Genomic DNA, 23,479 nt, shown 5'->3' with positions numbered 1-23,479 from the left:
GTTTCTCTAACTCCAGTATCAGTGATCATATCAAGAATTTACAATTGAATACCATTATTTCTTATGTATCCACTATAATTATATTTGCCTTCATTACCTATTTCCTTATAAAGTTCCAGTCCTTTAAAAAATTGTCTTTCAGGCTTTCCCTAGACTTCCTTAAGTGTATGTTTATTCATTATTAAGCTTGCTGTGTGTTTAGCTAGTCCTCTGTTTAGTATCCTGCACCCAGTACTCCACTTGACGTTAGCTATTGAGTAATAATTTAATGAATAGATACATAAGGAAATAAGGAATGAAAACAATAATTCCCACAGGACTGTATTTTGTGAGATGGACATTATAAGAAGCTACTCATATTGCCAAAGAAATCCTTAATGTATTTCCTGCTGTAAGTGTATGTGAAAGAACACTACCTGCCCTTCAATCTACCAAAAACAAAGAAGAGAATAGTTGTCATCCGTGCTCCTTTGGTAAACAAGAAACATCAACTCTATGGGAGGAAGGAATAAGAGCCAACTTCCCTTTGAAACATAATAAATACAAGGAATCATAAAAGTTTAGTTGAATGCCATGTTCTCACTCTCTCGTTAATACAGTGTTTTTTATTTCAATATGGTAAGTTGATATCCTAAATGCTTGGGGCATGTAAATTTGAAAGACAAAGTAAAAATATCTAAAAACTTAATGGAAAGAACGTATCACAATACATTTGATCAACAAGAATGAAACCATCGCCAAGATAACTTTATAAAATTGATTAAGAGACTCTTGCATGATTACCACTACACCAGTGGTGCTGCCAAAGTTGATTAAGGAAAACAATAAAGCTCACCTAAGCTGGCAGCACAATCAGCACTAATCATTAAGCCAGCTTGCCCTTTCGTCCTCTTCCTTGTAACTGGTCACTGCTTACTACCCCAGTATAAGGTAGCCCTTGTCACAAGACTTTTTGTTCCTTTTCTGTTCCATAGATAAAATCTAAGGCATTGTGAGATGATAATCTTTGCTTTTGAATTTATTCTTTAGGTTCCACATACCAACAAAACTAGTGATGCCAGCTGCTCTGAACGACCTAGCAAGAAACTGACTCATGGAGGAATGCAGTTTCAACATCCTGATGATTACATCCCCCTTACCCTGACCAATCAACAATCCAAATTTTTCAGCTTCTCATCCTCCACAGTCTCCTTAAAGGACCCCTTCATGGAGCAAATTTGTGGCTTGAGATTTCCTCTCATTTCCTAGTTCAAAGGCCTTGTGATTATTAAACTCATTCTCGGCTGTAAACCCTGCTGCCTCAGTGTATTGGTCCATTGCTGCACAATGAGCATACAAACCTGGCAGTCCTGTAACACAAACACAGAAATTAAAAGGCAACTGTGGACATTGATATACAAAATTTATATTTATGATTGTACACAGACTGGATAACCAGCAGATTATGCCTAGCTCTGGCAAACACAATATAGTCTTTCATTTAAAAATATATTGAATATATATTGACACTAATATGTCTTGTAAATGCTGATTAGACTTTATAGAAGATACTAGTCTCAATATATTAAAACAATGTGGATAGATTTTATGTTATCTTCCAAAATGAAGATCTCCATTTACTGGAGGTGATCATTACTAATAAGGATGCAAATTCAGTTTATCATCTTTATTGGCAACTTGAAGTGATGAGTTAGGGTGCTGACTTGCCAAATTTTTTATTGAACTGCAGCTGTCAGGGATAACAAATAATCTTAAAGTCAAGGTTAACAGGGCAGAGCCAGCAGTTTGGAAGGCCAAAGTGGGAGGATCACTTGAGCCCATGATTTTGAGGCCAGTCCGGGTAACATAGTGAGACCTCATCTCTACTAAGAACAATAATAATAATAAAATTAGCCAGGCATGATGGTGGACAGCTGTAGCCCCAGCTACTCAGGAGGCTGAGATGGGATTATCACTTAAGCCTGGAAAGTCAAGGCTGCAGTGAGCCAAGATCATGCCACTACACACTAGCCTGGGTAATAGAGCAAGACCCTGTCTCAAAAAAAAAAAAAAAAAAAAAAAGTAGAGAAAAAGACTTTGGTTTTGTATACATTCAGGTCACTAAATCAAGGTGACAAAGTAGGTGAAAAACTAAATTAATTTTGTTTTGTTTGGTGGAAAAAAGTAGGCACTAGTCCAGTTCTGCCTCCTGTGACACCATATGAATAAACAAAAAGCTCTAGAGAATAACAATCTACATCTGCTTCCATTATGTGAATTCACACATCATATAATATAATCACTTAACTCTCTGAGTCGTAGTTTTCTAAGTGAGAAAATAAAAATTCCTGCCCCATTACTTCAGAATCTTGTAATGTCACAACATTATATTTCTGAATATTTTGTGATGGTAAACATGCAAACATTAGACATCATTATTATTTTGCTTAGACTACATGAAGATATTATTTTCTAAAGTATGATTATATATGGGAGTTTTTAATAAAATATGACTTAAGAGAAAATACTTGAAAACCATGACCTATTACAAATTCTTGAAACAAGGGAAAAGATTGGATTTGTAAGAATCTGAGAGCCATCTGCAAATCTCATTAAACTGTATTCCCTGTCTACTAATTATGAATGTCTTATCTCCACCAATTCAATTCATCATGTACACTGCTACCAAACTATTCTTCCTGGGTCATAACTTATTAAGTGTTTCTTTTCTGCTTAAAAATCCTCCAAAACATTATCTTTCCTATAGAATACAGCATTTAACTGGAAATATTATGATCTTTCATAAATTGGTTATAAACTCTATTCCCAACCTTTTCCCCTTCCCAATAGTTCCCAATGCAACAATTTGGGAGTCTGTATTAATCCTTTCTCACACTTTTATAAAGAAGTAACCAAGACTGGATAGTTTATAAAGAAAAGAGATTTAATTGACTCAAAGTTCCTCATGACTGGAAAGGGCTCAGAAAACTTACAATCATTGCAGAATGGGAGGCAGGCACCTTCTTCACAAAGTGCCAGTAGAGAGTGTGAGCATGCAGGAAAAACTACCATTTATTAAATCATCAGATCTTGTGATAATTCACCCACTATCATGTAAACAGCAAGGGGGAAACTGCGTCATAATCCAATCACTTCCCTTCCTCGACACATGGGAATTACAGGTTCCTCCCTCAACACAATGGGATTACAATTCTAGATGAGATTTGGGTGGGAGCACAGAACAAAACCATATCAGAGTCCCTATCAGATGGCATAGTAAGAATAAGTAGTTTCTTCTTGCTGTAGTACTCCAGGCTTTTCTGCTTTATCTCTCAAAGGAGTGATATGATGTTTTATTTTCCTCTTGATGTCACCAACACCTAGAACATAACTTGCTTTTAATACATGCATGCCAAATCCAAGATCTGTAATAGATAGTCTATAAATGTGAATTTTAATCTTACTCATCAGAGTGTACAATTTCAAAATATCATCTTTTATGTAAGCTCCCAATTAACTACATAGATATATTAATGCTCTCTTGTTATAAAAATCAGAAAACTTAATTCCAAATGACTTAAACAAACCAGGAGCTTTTTCTGACTTCGTACGACTAAAAAGTCCCAAAGTGGGCACACTGTTGGAGCCAAAACTTTTCAATATCATCAAGTCACCAGATTATCTTCTCTGTGGTCCTGTTGATTCTGTCTTCCTCCATATATTAGATTTACCTGAACATTATGTTATAATCTTATTTAAAAACCTGTAATTTTAAACATGAAACAAAGAGCAAGATATTTATCTTTTCAGTGAGTGGATTTTTACACAGCAGCATGGAATGAATAAAACAGATTTAATGTCATCTCCCAGCCTCCCTAGGCCAGACTTCAAAAAAAATAAGATCTTTAACTCAAGGGTGAAGCAATATAGCCTTTCAACACTTTAGACAGGGCACAAGACTGATGGCAGAGAACCAGATGGGTTAGTGAGTATGTTCAACATTCTACTGATTCTGAGAAACTGAGGTGTCCCTGTCTAGTTAAAGGACAAAAAGAAAGGTCACCGATCCATGTTAACTGATCTAACAGGACAGGCATGGGGTTCAGTATCCTGCTGCCTCAGACTTCCTAGAAAACACAACCATGGCGCCATGGGAGCCAAGAAGCAATGGGCTTCTTTCTTCTATGAGACTAATTATTACATGTAGTCACAGCTCTTACAAATAATGGTCTAGCATTAATAAACTAGGCCATCCATGAACATGTGACCCTTCCATTTTTTAAAATTATATTTTTAGTAATTGCATTACATTTTAAACATATTCACTCTTACATTATTATTATGTTCTAAGATGTCGGCCTATATTTAATATAACACCTAATGATTTCAAGTCGTTAAGGGGACACTTTGGTGATCCAAGGTAGGGTGTTTTCAACAGAAGTTGTATATGCAAGCAAAGCCAACACACACAAAAAGTTTTTTTTTTCTTTTATTATACTTTAAGTTCTAGAGTACATGTGCACAACATGCAGGTTTGTTACATAGGTATACGTGTGTCATGTTGATTTGCTGCACCCATCAACTCATCATTTACATTAGGTATTTCTCCTAATGCTATCCCTCCACCAGACCCGCACCCTCTGACTGGCCCTGGTGTGGGATGTTCCCCTCCCTGTATCCATGTGTTCCCATTGTTCAACTCCCACCTATGAGTGAGAACATGCGGTGTTTGGTTTTCTGTCCTTGTGAGAGTTTTCTGAGAATGATGATTTCAAGCTTCATCCATGTCCCTGCAAAGGACATGAACTCATCCTTTTATATGGCTGCATAGTATTCCATGGTGTATATGTGCCACATTTTATTAATCCAGTCTATCAGTGATGGACATTTGGGTTGGTTCCAAGTCTTTGCTACTGTGAACAGTGCCACAATAAACATACATGTGCATGTGTTTTTATCGTAGAACGATTTATAATCCTTTGGGTATATACCCAGTAATGGGATTGCTGGGTCTAATGACATTTCTAGTTCTAGATCCTTGAGGAATCGCCACACCATCTTCCACAACGGTTGAACTAGTTTACAGTCCCACCAACAGTGTAAAAGTGTTCCTATTTCTCCACATCCTCTCCAGCATCTGTTGTTTCCTGACTTTTTAATGATCACCATTCTAACTCGTGTGAGATGGTATCTCATTGTGGTTTTGATTTACATTTCTCTGATGACCAGTATTGATGAGCATTTTTGCATATGTCTGTTGGCTGCATAAATATCTTCTTTTGAAAAGTGTCTGTTCATATACTTTTCCCACTTTTTGATGGGGTTGTTTGTTTCTTGTAAATTTGTTTGAATTCTTTGTAGATTCTGGATATTAGCCCTTTGTCAGATGGGTAGATTGCAAAAATTTTCTCCCATTCTGTAGGTAGCCTGTTCATTCTGATGATAGTTTCTTTTGCTGTGCAGAAGCTCTTTAGTTTAATTAGATCCCATTTGTCTATTTTGGCTTTTGTTGCCATTGCTTTTGGTGTTTTAGTTATGACGTCTTTGCCCATGCCTATGTCCTGAATGGTATTGTTTAAGTTTTCTTCTTGGGTTTTTATGGTGTTAGGTCTTACATTTAAGTCTTTAATCCATCTTGAGTTAATTTTTGTATAAGGTGTAAGAAAGGGATCCAGTTTTAGCTTCCTACATATAGCTAGCCAGTTTTCCCAACACCATTTATTAAATAGAGAATCCTTTCCCCAGTGCTTGTTTTTCTCAGGTTTCTCAAAGCCCAGATGGTTGTAGGTGTGTGGTGTTATTTCTGAGGGCTCTGTTCTGTTCCATGGTTCTATATATTTGTTTTGGTACCAGTACCATGCTGTTTTGGTTACTGTAGCCTTGTAGTATAGTTTAAAGTCACATAGCATGATGCCTTCAGCTTTGTTCTTTTGGCTTAGGACTGTCTTGTCTATGTGGGCTCTTTTTTGGTTCCGTATGAACTTTAAAGTAGTTTTTTCCAATTCTGTAAAGAAAGTCAGTGGTAGCTTGATAGGGATAGCCTTGAATCTATAAATTACTTTGGGCAGTATGGCTATTTTCACAATATTGAGTCTTCCTATCCATGAGCATGGAATGTTCTTCCATTTGTTTGTGTCCTCTTTTATTTCATCAAACAGTGGTTTGTAGTTCTTGAAGAGGTCCTTCACGTCCCTTGTAAGTTGGATTCCTAGGTATTTTATTCTCTTTGTAGTAACTGTGAAAGAGATTTCACTCATGATTTGGCTCTCTGTTTGTCTGTTATTGATGTATAGGAATGTTTTTGATTTTTGCACATTGATTTTGTGTCCTGAGACTTTGCTGAAGTTGCTTATCAGCTTAAGGAGATTTTAGGCTGAGACAATGGGGTTTTCTAAATATACAATCATGCCATCTGCAAACAGGGACAATTCGACTTCCTCTTTTACTAATTGGATACCCTTTATTTCATTATCTTGCCTGATTGCCGTAGCCAGAACTTCCAACACTATGTTGAATACAGGTGGTGAGAGAGGGCATACTTGTGTTGTGCTGGTTTTCAAAGGGAATGCTTCCAGTTTTTGCCCATTCAGTATGATATTGGCTGTGGGTTTGTCACAAATAGCTCTTATTATTTTGAGATATGTCCCATCAATATCTAGTTTATTGAGAGTTTTTAGCATGAAAAGCTGTTGAATTTTGTCGAAGGCCTTTTCTGCATCTATTGAGATAATCATGTGGTTTTTGTCTTTGGTTCTGTTTACATGCTGGATTACGTTTATTGATTTGAGTATGTTGAACCTGCCTTGCATCCCAGGGATGAAGCCAATTTGATCTTGGTGGATAAGCTTTTTAATGTGCTGCTGGATTCGGTTTGCCAGTATTTTTTTTAGGATTTTGGTATCGATGTTCATCAGGGATATTGGCCTAAAATTCTCTTTTTTGGTGTATCTCTACCAGGCTTTGGTATCAGGATGATGCTAGCCTCATAAAATGAGTTAGGGAGGATTCTCTCTTTTTCTATTGATTGAAATAGTTTCAAAAGGAATGGTACCAGCTCCTCTTTGTACCTCTGGTAGAATTTGGCCTTGAATCCATCTGGTCCTGGACTTTTCTTGGTTGGTAGTCTATTAATTATTGCCTCAATTTCAGAGCCTGTTATTGGTCTATTCAGAGATTCAACTTCTTCCTTGTTTAGTCTTGGGAGGGTGTATGTGTCCAGGAATTTATCCATTTCTTCTATATTTTCTAGTTTATTTGCATAGAAGTGTTTATAGTATTCTCTGATGGTAGTTTGTATTTCTGTGGGATCGGTGGTGATATCCCCTTTATGATTTTTTACCGCATCTATTTGATTCTTCTCTCTTTTCTTTATTAGTCCTGCTAGAGGCCTATTTTGTTGATCTTTTCAAAAGACCAACTCCTGGATTCATTGATTTTTTGAAAGGTTTTGACACACAAAAAGTTTTTGTTGCAGTTTTTTATGTATTTTGCTTTGAACCCTTCATTATTTCCCTCAGCCACTTTTTTAGTATTTGCTACGTGTTAAACACTGTTACCAATGTTAAGAATTTATAAGTGAACAAAACATACATAAATCCTTGTCCTTGTGGTTCTCATCTTTGGAGTTTGAGGGAGATAGACAATTAAGAGGATAAATTAGGAAAATATGTGATTCATGGTAATAAGCCCCAAGGAGAAAAATTGAACAGGTAAGGGAGATAGGGGATACCTGTGGTCTGAGAGGAAGTTACAGTATCAGGATATCCTGGGAAGTCCTCACTGCAAAGATAACATTTGAAGAAAAGTCTGAAGGGGGATAAAGCAATGAACCATGTGGAATTCCTTGGAGGAATGCTCCAGGGAAAGAACAGCAAGGGCTAAAATACTCAGATAGACGAGTGCCCACAATTCAAAGAAGCAAGGAGGCTGGTGTGGCCAGAATACAGTAAGTAAGGTGGAAAATAGTGGGAGATTAGAGAACTAGAGGGAGGAAGGCAAATCATGTAAAACATTGAGGGCCATCCGTAAGGACTTTGGCTTGGTTTCACAGTGAAATGGAAGCCATTGGAGGGTTTAAACAGAGAAATGACATAATACAATTGATGTTTTCATAGGATTATTCTAGTACTATAAGATTGGGCTATGTTCAGGCAAGAGCCGAAGTAAGGAGACAAGAAAATATGGTAAATATTATAGACAAGAGATGAAAGTACCTAGGAGAAAGTAGTTGCTGTGCAGTAACTAGAAAGTGTGAGATTCTGAATATGTCTTGAATGGATGCTTATCAGGATTTGCAGATGGATCTGACGTAGAATGTAAGACAAAAAAGAAAAATCAAGGTTACATTTAAGAGTTTTGAACCAAACAACTAGAACTAAGGAATTGTTATTTCATGATGGAGAGGACTAGAGGAAAATTAAAGAATAGGACACATGGAGCATTCAAAAAAAATTAAAGAATAGGACACATGGAGCATTCATAAAAAAATTAAAGAATAGGACACATGGAGCATTCATAAAAGATTGCAGATCTTGATTTAGTTCAAGTTAGTTGTACAACTTAGTATCCCAATTGAGGGAAATTTAACCCATGAAACCAATTGTGTTAAATTTATTGGTGTATGTCCTATGTTAGGGGTTTAAGAATTTACAATCTTCTCTAAAAGGAGCTATAAAAGATGATGGGGGTTGGAAGTCTCTAGGCTTTGCACAGAATCAAATTATATCCATAATAATAAAAGCAGACATGCCTCACAACTCCTCTGTGTCTCAGTTTCTTCACACTTAAACAGAGGGGTTTGGGTTTCAGAATTAACGTAATAATCACAGGCTGTTCTGATCATGTGCTAAGGTGAACACAACTGATTTCAAGCAATATTATCCAGACCAACCTTTGAAGTAATAATCATCACTGGGCAATATGATGAAGAAGGAGCTGTTTACATACAACTTTTCAAACCAATATTCTCTGTGCCCTTTTTTCAACTGTGTATAAAAACCTTTCTCTCTGGTATTTGACTACTAGGGCTTTTGTGTTGTAAGAGACCAAACACAACATTTCTTTACTATGTAACCTAATATTCTCAATAAAGGATCCAAAAATACTCACAGTAACATTTTAGACACTGTGTTCTCTCCCGGGTTTATTTGCATTTTTCTTCTTCTTTTCCTCCTCCTTTTTTAATGTCACTAAACATTAATTGAACCCATACTATAAGACAGACACTGTGGTGTGTTCTGTAGACATGAAGATAAATGAGATAGACATATTAATAGCTCCTGCTCTTAGACTGTTCCTGTATTATAAAAGAGATGGACATATTTTCAGCTAATAATAACAAAATGTGAGATAGGGAAAGGGACAGAGAAGAGAGAATTCTTAGAAATATAGAAAGGGGCAACCATGAGAACAGCAAGAACTCACAAAGAAAACCACATTTAATATTGAACGGTGTGAGGCAGCTTATTTACCAGGAAATGAAAGATCTATGTGTGTCTTAGAGAGTGAAGGTAACATTACCATAGGAGGGAAAAGCCTGAGCAAATATTTGAAGAATGACAAGTATTTTGTTGCAGCCAGACCCTAGATTATGAGGCCAGATATCAAACTTAAAAGACTGTAAATAGACTTGCATGGCATGCTGAGTAATTTTTGAATATCTTATAGACCATTGGGAACAAGTGAAAGTCATTTACATACTGTATTTTTATAAGCACACCATTAAGAAGAATGGGAGATGAACAGATTTGAAGAAACTAACAGGAGGCTATTGCACAAGTTTAGGTAAGAGGCAGTAGTAAATGGGAAAGGAGACAAGGTGCTATTTGGGAAATAACCTTACAGTAGAACAATGTACTGTGACCTGAGGATGAGGGAGAAAGAAAAAAGAGCAAAGATGATTCAGAATTCTAACTTGGGAGAACAGGTGGAATGGGATGCCATCAGCTATGACTGGGAATATGGAGCAGAAGCAGGTCTGGGACAGAAAATTGGTGACTGATTTTAGATACCCTGGGTTTTAACTGTCTGCAGAATATTCAGTAGTTAATTAGACAAAAGACTCTGGGCCTCAAAAGAAATGGCAGAACAGGAAATTTAGGTTTTTACATTAAAATCACAGAAGTAGATAAAGTGAGCCTATAGAGAGGAGAAGGAAAAATGTTGAAATGATAAGGAACTACAAGTTTCTCTTTTTCTAAATGGAAAAGAATTCAGGTTTTTTGTAAAAATTCAAACTACACAAAAGTCATAATCTAAACATCTACCCTTCCATCTCACCCAGATATAATTCCATTCTTCATAAACAACGATGACTCAATACCCACATTTAATTAATTTTTTCTCTGATTGTGGAAGAAAAGACCCCATACTAACAAGAAATTTGAGGTTCTAGAAACCGGAACCAAAAGTAAATTAAAGATAAACTCCGGTTTCAAGTGCCCCAGAAGTCTGAGTTTTATAAAATAGGAAGCTATTTCCCCTGCCCACTACTAATACAGAATTATTAATAAAAAGTTCTGAGGGGCAGTCAAAAACAGGAAGAGATCATTTCTCTAACTGCACGTGAAAAAAAGAATAACACTTAGTTTCCTAGATATAAATGTGAATTCAGAAGTTAGAAAGCTGTATTAATTTTTGCAAACTTGTGGGAAAAGATTAGGCAGGAAAAATCTTATTTTTCAAGAGTTGTCATAACTGCTTTTACCTCTGAGGCAAACTTGTCTGATAGCAGTCATGCCCTGCAAGGCCCTCGATGATGAAACCCCACCTAAATCTCTGACCTCACTTCCTATCACCCTTCCTTGGTTACCCTCCTGTAGCCTAGTTTGTCCTCTTTATGTTGCTCTAACATGACAATTTCTTTACTGTTTTAGGACATGTTATTTCCACTGCCAGAAATACCTTTCCCCAAATATGTAAATGTTAGCCTCCTCAAATGTTAATTATCTCCTCAGACTTTCCTTGTTACATTCTCTCTCTCACAGGCACATACATAAACACACATACACACACACACACTCACACACCCCTCTCACTCTCTTGCCCCTTACCCTTCTGTCACTATTTTTGCAAAATTATATTATAAAATGTTTGTTTGTTGTGTTTCTTGCCCACAAAACTGTAAGTGGCAATAGCATGAGGATAGCATCTTTGTCTTAATTCACTGTTGTATCCCCACCCCCTTGGCTCATAACACAGGCTCACTGGAGAAGTTTTTGAAGGAATTAATGAAGAAACGAATGATAATTTATTGCATTCTAAATCTCAAATCTCCCTCCATGACTTTGTATGCACTATGGAAAAAAATAGGTTTACATTTGTACAAAAAATAACAAAAACAGTTCTCACCCCATTTTGCCTCTAAATTGTAGAATTTAGATATGTTCAACAATGAGCCCCAGTTTCACTGAAGGCAGACTTGGATATACAACTTGTGCATATACTCCTATGACAGAATAATTAAAATGCAAACTCACTGAAAACTGAAATTGAACCCTCATTTGTTTTTTGTTACTCTGTATTTTCTCAATCAATAAATCCTAAAACTACCATATTGTATATAGGTCGGTGAATATTTTTAACATTAAGGAGGTATCTTTACACTCAAAATGGTGGTGATCAGCTAATGATTAGTATTTTTAGAATCTATACAATGAAGCCATACTAATATGCACTCAGTTACTGAGCTAATTCACCTTTTCACATGATTTGGTTTTCTTGTTTGTATTGTTTCAACATTAATACAGCTAAAAATGTTATGCTGACCAATTTTGGGTTTAGTTGTTTGTTTTCAGTAGGAGTAGTCATGACATCATATATAAATGAATTAATTTAAATACTTCTCAGTTTTCATTTTTGATACATCAGTCCAATATTAATTCTGGTTCTCCAAGTAGATTAATATATATTATAGTCTCATGTGTTTTCTTGAGACCACTAAAAATGCATACTAGGAAAAATAATGAAAATTACCATCCACTGACAACTTATTTTGTGACAATCACAACAGTGGAACATCTCCCACATTTTTCTATTTTTATTAATGTAAGTATTCTCAGCTTAAAAAATTATAAAACTCTGAAAAGTTTTCTAACTTGTCCAAGTTTTTCAAAACCAGTAAATTCCCAAATTGATATCTTAAGAGTTTTAACTTAAGAAGGCTTACCTCCTTATATAATTATCATGATTTGTCAGGAGAGAAAACTGAGGCACAAATTAGAGAAATTACTTACATGAAATGACAAGAAGGGTTAGTAACAAAACGAACCGACATTTGCTTTTCTCCGGTGGATTTCGACTGTGTATTCATATGTGTTCAAAAATGTCACACTCACCTTCCTCATATGGGACATAAATTTTGAATAATTTTTCTGATAATCTTCCTGTGTAAATGCTATAACACACATATATAAGATGACTGTGTTGAATATGTATCCTGTGTCACAGGAAGAGTCAAAGGTAACAAGAACTCATAGAATTTAGCTTCATCTGAGTATCATTCTAAAACTCACAGCTAACCAGCCCCATCAGAAAGCATTCTCACACCATCCTCAGAGATTTCAGAAAAGAAAAGAGGAAAGTTAACACTTGTAGGGCAGGAGATTTTTTACTTGGACATTTTTTTTTCTTCAGGATGGTCCAGCAAGGGGCAGAATGGTTGTCTATTACTTGAGTGTTCTTAAAATAAAGTGTCTCCCAGACAATTCTGTATGTTACCACATTAGTCTGCCCCATGTTTATACTCTAAGAAAAAAATTTCCAATAGCAACCTGAGATAGAAGAGGTTAGGAAAAGATAAAACTCTTTCTAGTCCCAGGATGTGCATAGCCATACCTTTTTACCTCACATGGTCGCAGGAGAGGTTTCAGAACCATCAACTATTTCTCCCTATTCCCTAGCCAAATAGGTGATGACAACAGAAACAGGCACGATGTACCTGCAATCTTTGCTCCTATGGCATTACTATTGTAAACAGCGGGAGAACAGAAAGTTCTTGTACACTGGAATAAAAAAAGATGCAATTACAATTGAGCCAATGTAATCAACTGTGGTTTTAAAAAATCCTAGTAAGTATTTTGGAAAGAATTCAATGTTAATTTTAATTTTATTTTTATTTTAAAAGCAGTTTCAAATAAAGAATCCCATATGCTATATATACACAGTTGCAGAAACAGAAAACAGCCAACTCATGCTAACTTTCCAGAGGAGCTCAAGGAATTTTTGCTTCATTCATAAAGGTAACATGAATAGCATTCTTATAAATGATGGACACTAATACCAGAATCAAACAAAGGATGATATTAGTTGAAAACTTCCTAAATTTATTATTTAAATAATCCTGGTCGTAACACATGGAGGTTTGGAGATTAATATAAAATCTATTTTCTTCAAATTGTATATTTAATTTTAAGCACTATTTCATTTTCTCTCCTAGGAAGGTAATTTATTAAAAGGCACATTTATTTTCAATGGGTAAAATTTAAGTCATTAACTGACTATTCAAATGTATAAATAGTAAAATACTCCTTTGGAGTACACATTAAAATTAAAATTTTATAGCCAATCTTATGGCCAAACACAAGTCTCTCAACTAAACAAAGAACCTTGGAGAAAAAGAGAAAATAATGTTTTTAAGGCCAAAAAAGCCAAAAATATTTTGCTGAGAATGATAGTTTCCAGCTTCATCCATGTCCCTGCAAAGGACATAAACTCATCATTTTTTATGGCTGAATAGTATTCCATGGTGTCTATGTGCCACATTTTCTTTATTCAGTCTATCATTGATGGGCATTTGGGTTGGTTCCAAGTCTTCGCTATTGTGAACAGTGCCACCATAAACTTACTTGTGTATGTGTCTTTAGAGTAGAATGATTAATACTCCTTTGGGTATTACCTAGTAATGGGATTGCTGGGTCAAATGGTATTTCTGGTTCTAGATCCTTGAGAAATTGCCACACTGTCTTCCACAATGGTTGAACTAATTTACACTCCCACCAAGAGTGTAAAAGAATTCCTATTTGTCAACATCAGAAAACCAAACACTGCATGTTCTCGCTCATAAGTGGGAGTTGAACAATAAGAACACATGGACACAGGGAGGGGAACATCACACACCAGGGCCTGTCGGGTGCTGGGGAGCTAGGGGAGGGATAGCATTAGGAGAAATACCCAATGTAGATGACAGGTTGATGGGTGCAGCAAACCACCATGGCATGTGTATACCTATGTAACAAAATGGCACATTCTGCACATGTATCCCAGAACTTAAAGTACAATTTTAAAAAAACCAAAAATATTTACAGAGAGGCTGATACATTTTAAAGAGTTCATTATAATTTCTATTACTTTTTTAAATAACAAATACACTTGTATGGGTCATGTACCATCTTTAAAACAAAATTAAATGTCATTTTAAAAGAAGCTACATTTCATATTTTCAGAGCTTAGCAAGATAATTTCTCTCTTAACAGTTCATTGAATGTTTTGATATAGTATTTGTAGAGTAAAATGCATAGTACAGTAATTATATAGAAAAAATGTGACTTTTAAAAATGATAATCCACTCCACTTTAAAAACTCTAATATCATAATGTCCCAAAACACTTTATTTAGTTAAATGTAATCTTTTGCTGTGCAAACTATGCCTATCTTATTTTTTAAAGGAAGACAATTGCAGGCAGGCAGTAAAAACAGATGGAGGGAGCGAAGGAAGCTTTCTTTTTCCTTGTGGTTCTTTGTCTTTGGTTCTGTTTACATGCTGGATTCCTCCCAAAAGGGAGGAAATAACTTAAAGAAAGATAAAAACTTAAACACAGTGAGAAAATAGCCAATACTAGGCAGTTCTTTTTATTGGAATGGAAACATGTTCTTAAATGAGTTGTCATAATGATATGACACACATGAGTGATGAATGATAAAAAACCATTCCAACAGGATTCTTAAAACTATCAAATTTAGAATGCCACAGGAATTTTTTTTAATTATGAAAGCCATCTTGATGCAGAATTCAGATTGCAAAACTTTTTTTTTTTTTTTTAAGTTTCACAATCCCTTGCTCCACTGCTGGTGACAGTTTTTCCTAATGTGAGACAGTGGTTTGTTGAAAATTTTTATTTTCTTCAGAAAAAAATTCTAAACTGAAGGAATGGAGTGACACCAGCAGCCTGCTTCCATGGGATTATCTGGGCTTTTGAAATAAAGGAGCCATTAATGGAAGCTCTGACAGGTGATAGAAACAGAGCTGTCATTAACAAAGACTATGTCCAGAAGGTGATAGGGGGTGATTTATTTTGCAGCCTGAGACAGTAATATTATGAGAAAAATGTGCTAAATTAATTATTGACAAAATGCTGAGTTATGTGAGTATTTTAACCTCTGCTTGTGATCAGAAGATACCTCCAGCTATTTTGAAGGTATATGGAGCAAATTGCTGTCAGGGGAGGGGAGTTTAAAGTTGTGGTAAATTATATAGAACATGAAATTTGCCATTTTAATCATTGGTAGATGTATAGTTCAGTAGCATCAAGTACATTTGCATTGTCATGCAGCCACCACCATCAACCATTTCCAGAACTTTTTCGACTCCCCAAACTGAAACACTATAGTCATTAAACAATAACTCCTCATTCCTCCTTCCCTCCAACTCCTGGCCACCACCCATTTTCTGTCTGTATGATTTGACTACTCCAGATACCACATCTAAATGCAATAATATACATACAAAATTGTCCTTTTGCGCTGGCTTATTTCATTCAGCATAATGTCCTCCAAGTTCATCCACGTTGTAGTGTGTCAGGATGTCATTCATTCTTAAAGTTACATAATATTCCATTGTATGTAATACCACATCTGCTTATCCACTCAGGCATCAATAGATATTTGGGTTGTTTCCACTTTTTGACTTTGTAAATAGTGCGGCTAGGAACATTTGTTTGCGAATATATGTTCTAATTCCTGCTTTTATTTCTTTTGAATATATACCCACAGTGAGATTGCTGGATCGTGTTACAATTTCATGTTTAATTTTTGAAGAACTATCATATTAAACATACCAACATTCCATTTTTAATTTTTTATTTTCCAAAGTGGCGACACCATTTTACATTCCCTCCAGTAATGTGTAAGTGTTCTAATTTTCCCACTTCCTTACCCACACTTGGTATTTTCTGGGTTTTTGTTTGTTTCATTTTGCTTTGATAATAGCTACCTTAAATGGTATGAGGTGGTATCTCATTGTTGTTGTGATTTGCATTTACTTAATCATTAGTGTTGTTGAGCATCTTTCATGTGCTTATGGGCCATCTGTATGTCTTCTCTGGAGAAATGTCTAAAATCCCGTGTATTTTTCAACTGGGTTGTTTGGGATTTTGTTGTAGATTTGTAAGAGTTCTTTATGTATTCTAGATATTAATTCTTTATCAGAGATGAGTTGTAAATATTTTTTCTCATTCCATGGGAAAAAAATCTGTTGATAGTGTTCTTTGATGGACAAAAATTTTTATGAAATACAATTTATCTATTTTTTGTCGTTGCTGCCTGTGCTTTTGGTGTAATCCAAAAATGTATATATATTATAGCCAAATCTAATGTCATGAAACTTTTCCCGTGTTTTCTTTGAAGTTTTATAGCATTCTAGCTCTTATATTTAGTTTGTTTTATATGGTGTTACATTTTAATTTTATGCAGGGGTAAGGGTTCAACTTCATTATTTCATATATGAGTATCCAGTTTTCCCAATATCATTTGTTGAAAGATTGTCCTTATCCCATTAAATGGTCTTGGCACCCTTGTTGGAAATCATTTGCTCATCTGTGTGAGAGCTTATTCCTGAACTCTATTCTTTTCCTTTGGTCTATATGTCCGTCATGATGCCAGTACCACGTTGTTTTGATTATTGTAGCTTTGTAAGTTTTGAAATCAGGAAATGAGATGCCTTCAACTTTGTTCTTTTTGAAGGCTGTTTTGACTATTCAGAGTCCCTTGAGATTTTACATGAATTTTAGGATGAATTTTTCTATTTCTGCCACAAACATCATTGAGATTTTGATAGGGATTGCGCTGAATCTATAGATCACTTTGAGTATTACTGACATCTCAGAAATATTGTTGGCCAATCCATAAATACTGATATTGTGAAGCAAATTCACTATGCACTTGTTACCAACTTGTCTGAGTCCAGTGAGACAGAACACCCATACACATAACAAGTTACACGAGGCAGGCTTATTATTACTTACAAATAGGCAGGAAGGGACAACGGAAACCTGGGAGTCATTACAACCCAGGCTCCAAGGCTCAGGAAAGCTGCCTGGGGGAAGATGGAATCTTGTCAGAACATAATCCATTTGTACCGCAGCTGAGAGGCCCAGGAGAGTAGTTCATCTTTGGTTTTACACTCTAAGGGTAATAGAATTTGTGAGGCTAAAACATTGAAGGACATCCTGTGTCTAGAGGAGACTGGAACAGAGCCTTCCAGTCACTTCCTCCTATATTCGTGTGTTGCATTCCCAGTACATTCTACAGTTATTCTTGAGAACTACAAGTGAGAATAGTGGAAGAACTGGGTTGGTTCAAGGCTGCCTGGAGAAGTTTCCTGTGGATATCTTTCCACTTATGTGCATCTTCTTTAATTTTTTTCAGAATCTTTTTGTAGTTTTCAGTGTACAGTCTTTTGTCTTCTTGGCTAAGTTTATTCCTGAGTATTCTTTTTGATACCATTTAAATGGAATTGTTTTCTTAATTTCCTTTTGGTATTGTTCATTTTTGGTGTATATAAATTTAATTGTTTTTTTGCATGTTCATTTCGTGTTTTGAAAGTTTACTGAATTTATTTGTTAGTTCTATCAGATTTTATTATGTGTGTGTTCTATTTTTAGGGTGCTCCACATGTAAGACCATGTCATCTTATGAGATAATTTTATTCTTCCTTTCCAATTTAGATGCTTTTTATTTATTTTTCTTGCCTAACTTCTCTGATTAGGTCTTCCAATACTATGTTGAATAGAAGTGGCAAGTGTGGGCATCTTTGCTTTGTTCCTGATGTTAGCAAAAAAGCTTTCAGTCTCTCATCACTCAGTATGATGTTAACTATAAGCTTTTCATGTATAGCCTTTGTTATGCTGAAGTAGTTTCCTTCTATTCCTAGATTTTTAAATTTTTTAATAAAAGGGAATTAAATTTTGTCAAATGCTTTTTAAATGAATAACAATACTTACTTTTGTCTTCATTTTATTTATGTTTCATATTATACTGATTAGTTTTAGTATGTTGAACTATTGTTGCCGTCCAGGAATGAATCCCACTTGATCATGTTGTGTAATCCTTTGGCTGTACTGCTGAATTTAGTTTGTCAGTATTTTGTGCACATTTTTGCATCAATATTTATAGATCTATTGCTCTGTAGTTTTGTTTTCCTGATGTGTCTTGTTTTGCTTTAGTATCAGGATAATTCTTTTTAGATAACTATTTTAATAGCAGCTCTTTCTTAAATGTTTGTAGTAAATGTTTGAATGTATATTATTGTGTATCAAGTAATTATATAAGTAGTTTTCTTCTTCTTCTTTTTTTTTTTTTTTCCAGGCAGGGTCTCACTGTGTCACCCAGGCTGGAGTCCAGTAGCACTATCTCGGCTCACTGCAAACTCCACCTCCCAGGCTGAAGTCATCCTCCCACCTCAGCCTCCCAAGTACCTGGGACTACAGGTATGCACCACCACGCCTGGCTAATTTTTGTATTTTTTCTAGAGATGTGGTCTTGCCATGGTGCCCAGGCTGGTCTTGAACTCCTGAGCTCAAGCAATACAACCACCTCAGCCTTCCAAACTGTAGGGATTACAGGCATGAGCCATTGCACCCAGCAGTGATATTATTTTCTAAATTTAATAGCTAACGGAAACTAACCATGGAAATTGTATGAGAACTGACAGTATGATTTAATGCCCAAAGATGCGGGACCCTTGGTGCTGACTTAATTCTCTAGAAACGTCCAAATTTCCAAATGCCTAATCAGATATAGTTGTAGGTAAAACAATTAAATTAATAAAGTTTACTTTATATCCTCTCTCTCTCTCATCTCTTAAAAAAAATCCTTCTCCTTTTCAGAGGCTCTCTCATCTGCCTTGTCTCAACCAGTTACCTGGGAGCTTCAGGGTTCCAGTCCCACATCTGCTAGGTCCCTAAGAAATTGTTGGGAAATTGTTGGCTGTATCACCCTTCCCAGAGATATTTTTTTACAGTCTTTGTATTGACAAAGAACATGAACAGGCACTTCTCAAAAAAAGACATACAAGCAGCCAACAAGTATATGAAAAAATGCTCAACATTACTAATCATTCTAGAAATGCAAATCAAAACTACGATGAGAAACCATCTCACACCAGTCAAAATGATCTTTATTTAAAAAGTCTAAAAATAACAGATGTTGGTGAGGTTGCAGAGAAAAGGAAAAGTGTATACATTGTTGGTGGGAATGCAAATTAGTTCAGCCACTATGGAAAGCAGATTAAGATTTCTCAAAGAACTAAAAATAGAATTACCATTCCAGCCAGCAATCCCATTACTGGGTATATATTCTGTATATGTGGGATTACTGGGTATATACCTAAAGGAAAATAAACTGTTCTACCAAAAAGACACCTGCACTCATATGTTTAGTGCAGCACTCATCATAATAGCAAAGACATGGAATCAACCCAGGTGTCTATCAATGGTGTTACATACGTGCTATAAAATTCTATGCAGACATAAAAAAAGAATGAAATAATGTCCCTTGCAGCAACATGGGTGCAGCTAGAGGCCATTATCTAAGGCAAATTAATACAGAAACAAAACCAAATACTGCATGTTTTCACTTATAAGTGGCAGCTAAACATTGGGTACATGTGAACATAAAGACAGAAACAATAGACAATGTGGGACAATAGACATTCTGGGAAATATTGTGAATAATTCATGTGGTGACAGAAACAAAGAAACAGAAATAGAATCTGTATAAATCTCAAATGCACAGAAAGTTATTTCCACCTAAAAGTACTTTTTGGCAATTCATGAAGATAAGAAAAATATTAAAGTTTTGTTGTTAATTTCTATCATTAGCTTTATTAAATTTTATAGACTTTCTTTTTAACTCTAACATATTTTGGATAGTGACTTTTTGTTTTCTAATCTCTCATTAATTTCATTTTTTCTACTATCATTACCACATAGATATTTATTGAACACATACTACGTCATAATAATGTTGAAGAGTTGTATAGATTATCTAGCGACAAATAGGTTTGGCCTCTTTGGTAAAAAATCTTACAGTCAAGTTATGGTATACATTAACTCAAGAAGATATGAAGGTTGGGGTGTGCAAGTGACAATTATAATAATCCTTTTCTGAACAGTTACCTGTGATTTTTATGCATTTAAAATTAGAAAACATTATATTTTCGTGTAAATTATTTTACTATGTAAATTGTCTGTCAATGGGTTAATACCATGTGAAAAATAACATATTGGTAAGTAAAAATAAAACTATCTTTGCAAAGTTTTATTTCTAAAGAACATGGGCAGAATTTTTGTCCTTTGAGAACTGAGATACTGGAAAGAACTTTCCCAAATGCCCACACTATCAAATTTAGTTAAGAATGAACATGTTTAAAATACAATCTGGACAATATTTGCCTTTTCTCCTGATCTAGAGGGTAAAAACTGTTCAACAAAGAGAAATGTTTATAAATTTCCTGCTGTTGCCTCCAAAAATTGTGCATGTAAAAATATTTTGCTATACAGCTAAAAGTAAAGGGCTTATCATTTTAACCCAATAAAAGTTCTAACTGTATTCAGGGAAATAGTATCATAGGAATGTGAGGAGAGTATTTAGGGTGTCCTCTTGAGACTTTTTGATAATTCCTAAAATTAAAATAACCTGCTAGAGATAGTCTCCAGTTTTTGACATTTTACCACAACCTTGTTTCAGAATTATAATAATTCAACCTCTTAATTGGAAAGATAAAAATTTAAAGTTCAGGGTTGCTGACTCTAAAATATCACACAGCCAGATAGTATTGGTGCTGAAACTCAAATCTAAATGTTCCAGTTCAGAACTTTTCTAATTATACCCATCTATCTGCTGCACATTTAGAACTGATATTCATCTTCATTGGCATACGGGCTTAAGGAGGATAAAATTGCACGTTGATAGCAAATTGATAGTTGAAAGTTACACATTGATAGTATACTTGTCATTAATTTTTCAAAAATGTCAAAGATCATAAAGGAAGATTCTGCTTTATACATAATCTATCTCTTTGCTGTTGAGCATTTGAAGACTCTTTAGAGCAAGTCTTCAGTGCTGTCAACAGAAGATAATGTATTAGCCTGTGATCTGAATGATGTTTAAAATCTTCTCTCCAATAGTATGCCACTAGATGTATTTTTTTAAATTTAAGCAGGAAGTGTAGGCAACTACAATTTTTAGAGGAAGTAATTTCTTTTTCAACCAGTTTACTGTTATTTCAGCTGTTTCAATTCAGCTTAGCAAATATTCATTGAGTGCATATTTTATAAGAATTGCAAAGATGAACATGACACAATTTTTAGATCACAAATTTATCAGCAGCTAAGAAACAATTATATATATAAATATATATAATATATATGTGCACACATATGACATCGGTCTTTCTGATCTGTTCTGAGAATAACATAAATTTTAATGAGTTTTACAATATGGAAATAGGTAATAGAATTATTTTAAGCTCTAATAGGGTAAATATTGATGGCTGTAAGCCATGTAAGCTAAAGCTCTTTGAATCCTCACTAATTTTTAAAAGTATAAAAAGGTTCTGAAACCAAAAAGTTTGAAAACCGCTGCCTTAAGGCATTCATCATACATAATAAAGTAACCTCACTTTTATGCATCTAAGATAAGAGAATAGAGAAAATAGTCCCTCAAATAATTTTCTGTCTTCTTCCAGAAACACAGAAATACAGTGCCATTGTTTGCCAGAATGGAGAATACAATTTATTTCAAAAAACTTTCTAGCACATGGCTAAAGTTCAAGAAATTTAGTTAGGAAAAATATATTGACTTGGAAAACAAATTAAATTAAGAAAACAAAACCTAGATGAGAAAGAGTGTGCTTCAGAACTTCTAACAATCCAAAACATACCCAGGTGTATTGTGGATTTATCGCTGCAAATTACATATAATAAATTTATTCTCATGGTTGAGGGAGAAGCCATGGGAGGATGTAAGCACATTGAGATCTGAATGTACTGTTCTAGTAGCTATCAATCGTGAGTATGAATAAAGATTATGTGAGGAATTTGTTTAAAATTCATGTTTGTCATCTTCAGAAATGTTAATTATGTAAGATCTAGGAATCTGTACTTTAACGAGCATCCCAAATGTTGCTGATGTAGGTTCTCTATAGATCATACTTTGGGAAACACCGTACTTAGCAAAACTGAGATAATAGTTTAATAAGATCGTGAGACTCAAATGCTGAAAAAAAAGTTATAAGTTGTGAAGGATTATTACTTTTAGTGTTTGTATCTAAGAAGAGGTAAGTACTAGACTGACATCAAAATGATGATGATGATCATCATCATCAGTGTACTTCTCATTAGAGAAGAATAATGAGATGAGTTGTTTGTGAGGTCATTTGTGGGGTTAAACTGAGTGACAGAGGCTCTGCAAGGAGGAAGGCTATTGTCGCTGCTTGTTCCTGGGAGATGACAAACCAGTCACTCTGGGAGAGGTGCAAAATAATTGCAATTGTTAAAAACCGGGTTTTTCCCCCTCTTTTAAGGATGTCTCTACTCCATCTGCTGCTATGTGTGTTCTCTGTTCTTCATTACTCCATGCAACAGGCAGGATCTATGAATATAACACAGAAAAACAGATTGAAACTGTCTCTTCACAAAGCCCCCTGAATGTGTGGGAAGCCCCTATAAATGTCTTGTCATCTCCTAATTTTTACAGCATACTTTATTAATCTGTGAAGAGAAAGAAGAAGAAAGCTGTCAAGAAAGAAAGGATGAAAATGTACAAATTGATATTTTAAAATAGCAAGCAAAATACATATGGCCTATATATACACAAAATATATGCAACACACACACATATGTATACAGAGTACTATGAAACTAGTTAAATCTAGTAGTAAAGTATAGATTTAAATCTAGTACTATACTTTAGTACTAGATTTTAAACCAAGTATTCAGAAATTCTACCTGAAAGGAGTAATTTTACATCCCTGGCTTTCTGCCTCCTTTCTAGCAATGATGTTCTTATTTACTTACTTGATAATTTAAAATTGTCAGTTTTATAAAATGTGGAATATAAACCCAATGGAATATCATTCGGTTTAAGGTAATCCTGCCATTTGTGACAACATGGATCAATGTGGAGGACATTATGTTAAATGAAAAAAGCCAGACACAGAAAGAGAAATACTGGATAATTTCACTTACATGTGGAATCTACAATAGTCAATGCCATAAAAGCAGAG

The 23,479-nt window shown here is 35.0% G+C and overlaps 1 protein-coding gene across 2 annotated transcripts in view, besides 1 other annotated feature; it reads left to right on the top strand.

Annotated features, from left to right (window-relative positions):
• CRISP2 (cysteine rich secretory protein 2) overlaps positions 1-1,290 on the top strand; it is a 37,569-nt gene extending 36,279 nt beyond the window's left edge. For both annotated transcript variants that reach the window (XR_926302.4, XM_011514843.4), the window contains exon 12: positions 1,030-1,290. The gene's annotated coding sequence lies outside the window, so the exon portion shown is untranslated. The remainder of the gene's footprint in view (positions 1-1,029) is intronic.
• Positions 14,592-14,886: a silencer, noted in NCBI's record as "tiled region #4614; HepG2 Repressive non-DNase unmatched - State 24:Quies". NCBI's record gives its function as "represses a minimal TATA promoter and a strong SV40 promoter by Sharpr-MPRA in HepG2 cells {active_cell/tissue: HepG2}" and the evidence as "EXISTENCE:reporter gene assay evidence [ECO:0000049][PMID:27701403]".

This window comes from Homo sapiens, chromosome 6 (genome assembly GCF_000001405.40).
Source record: "Homo sapiens chromosome 6, GRCh38.p14 Primary Assembly".
In the NCBI taxonomy this organism is placed as follows: Eukaryota; Metazoa; Chordata; class Mammalia; order Primates; family Hominidae; genus Homo; species Homo sapiens.
The sequence above is the reverse complement of the archived record's forward strand: the minus strand, read 5'-3'. Positions and strand labels throughout refer to the sequence as shown.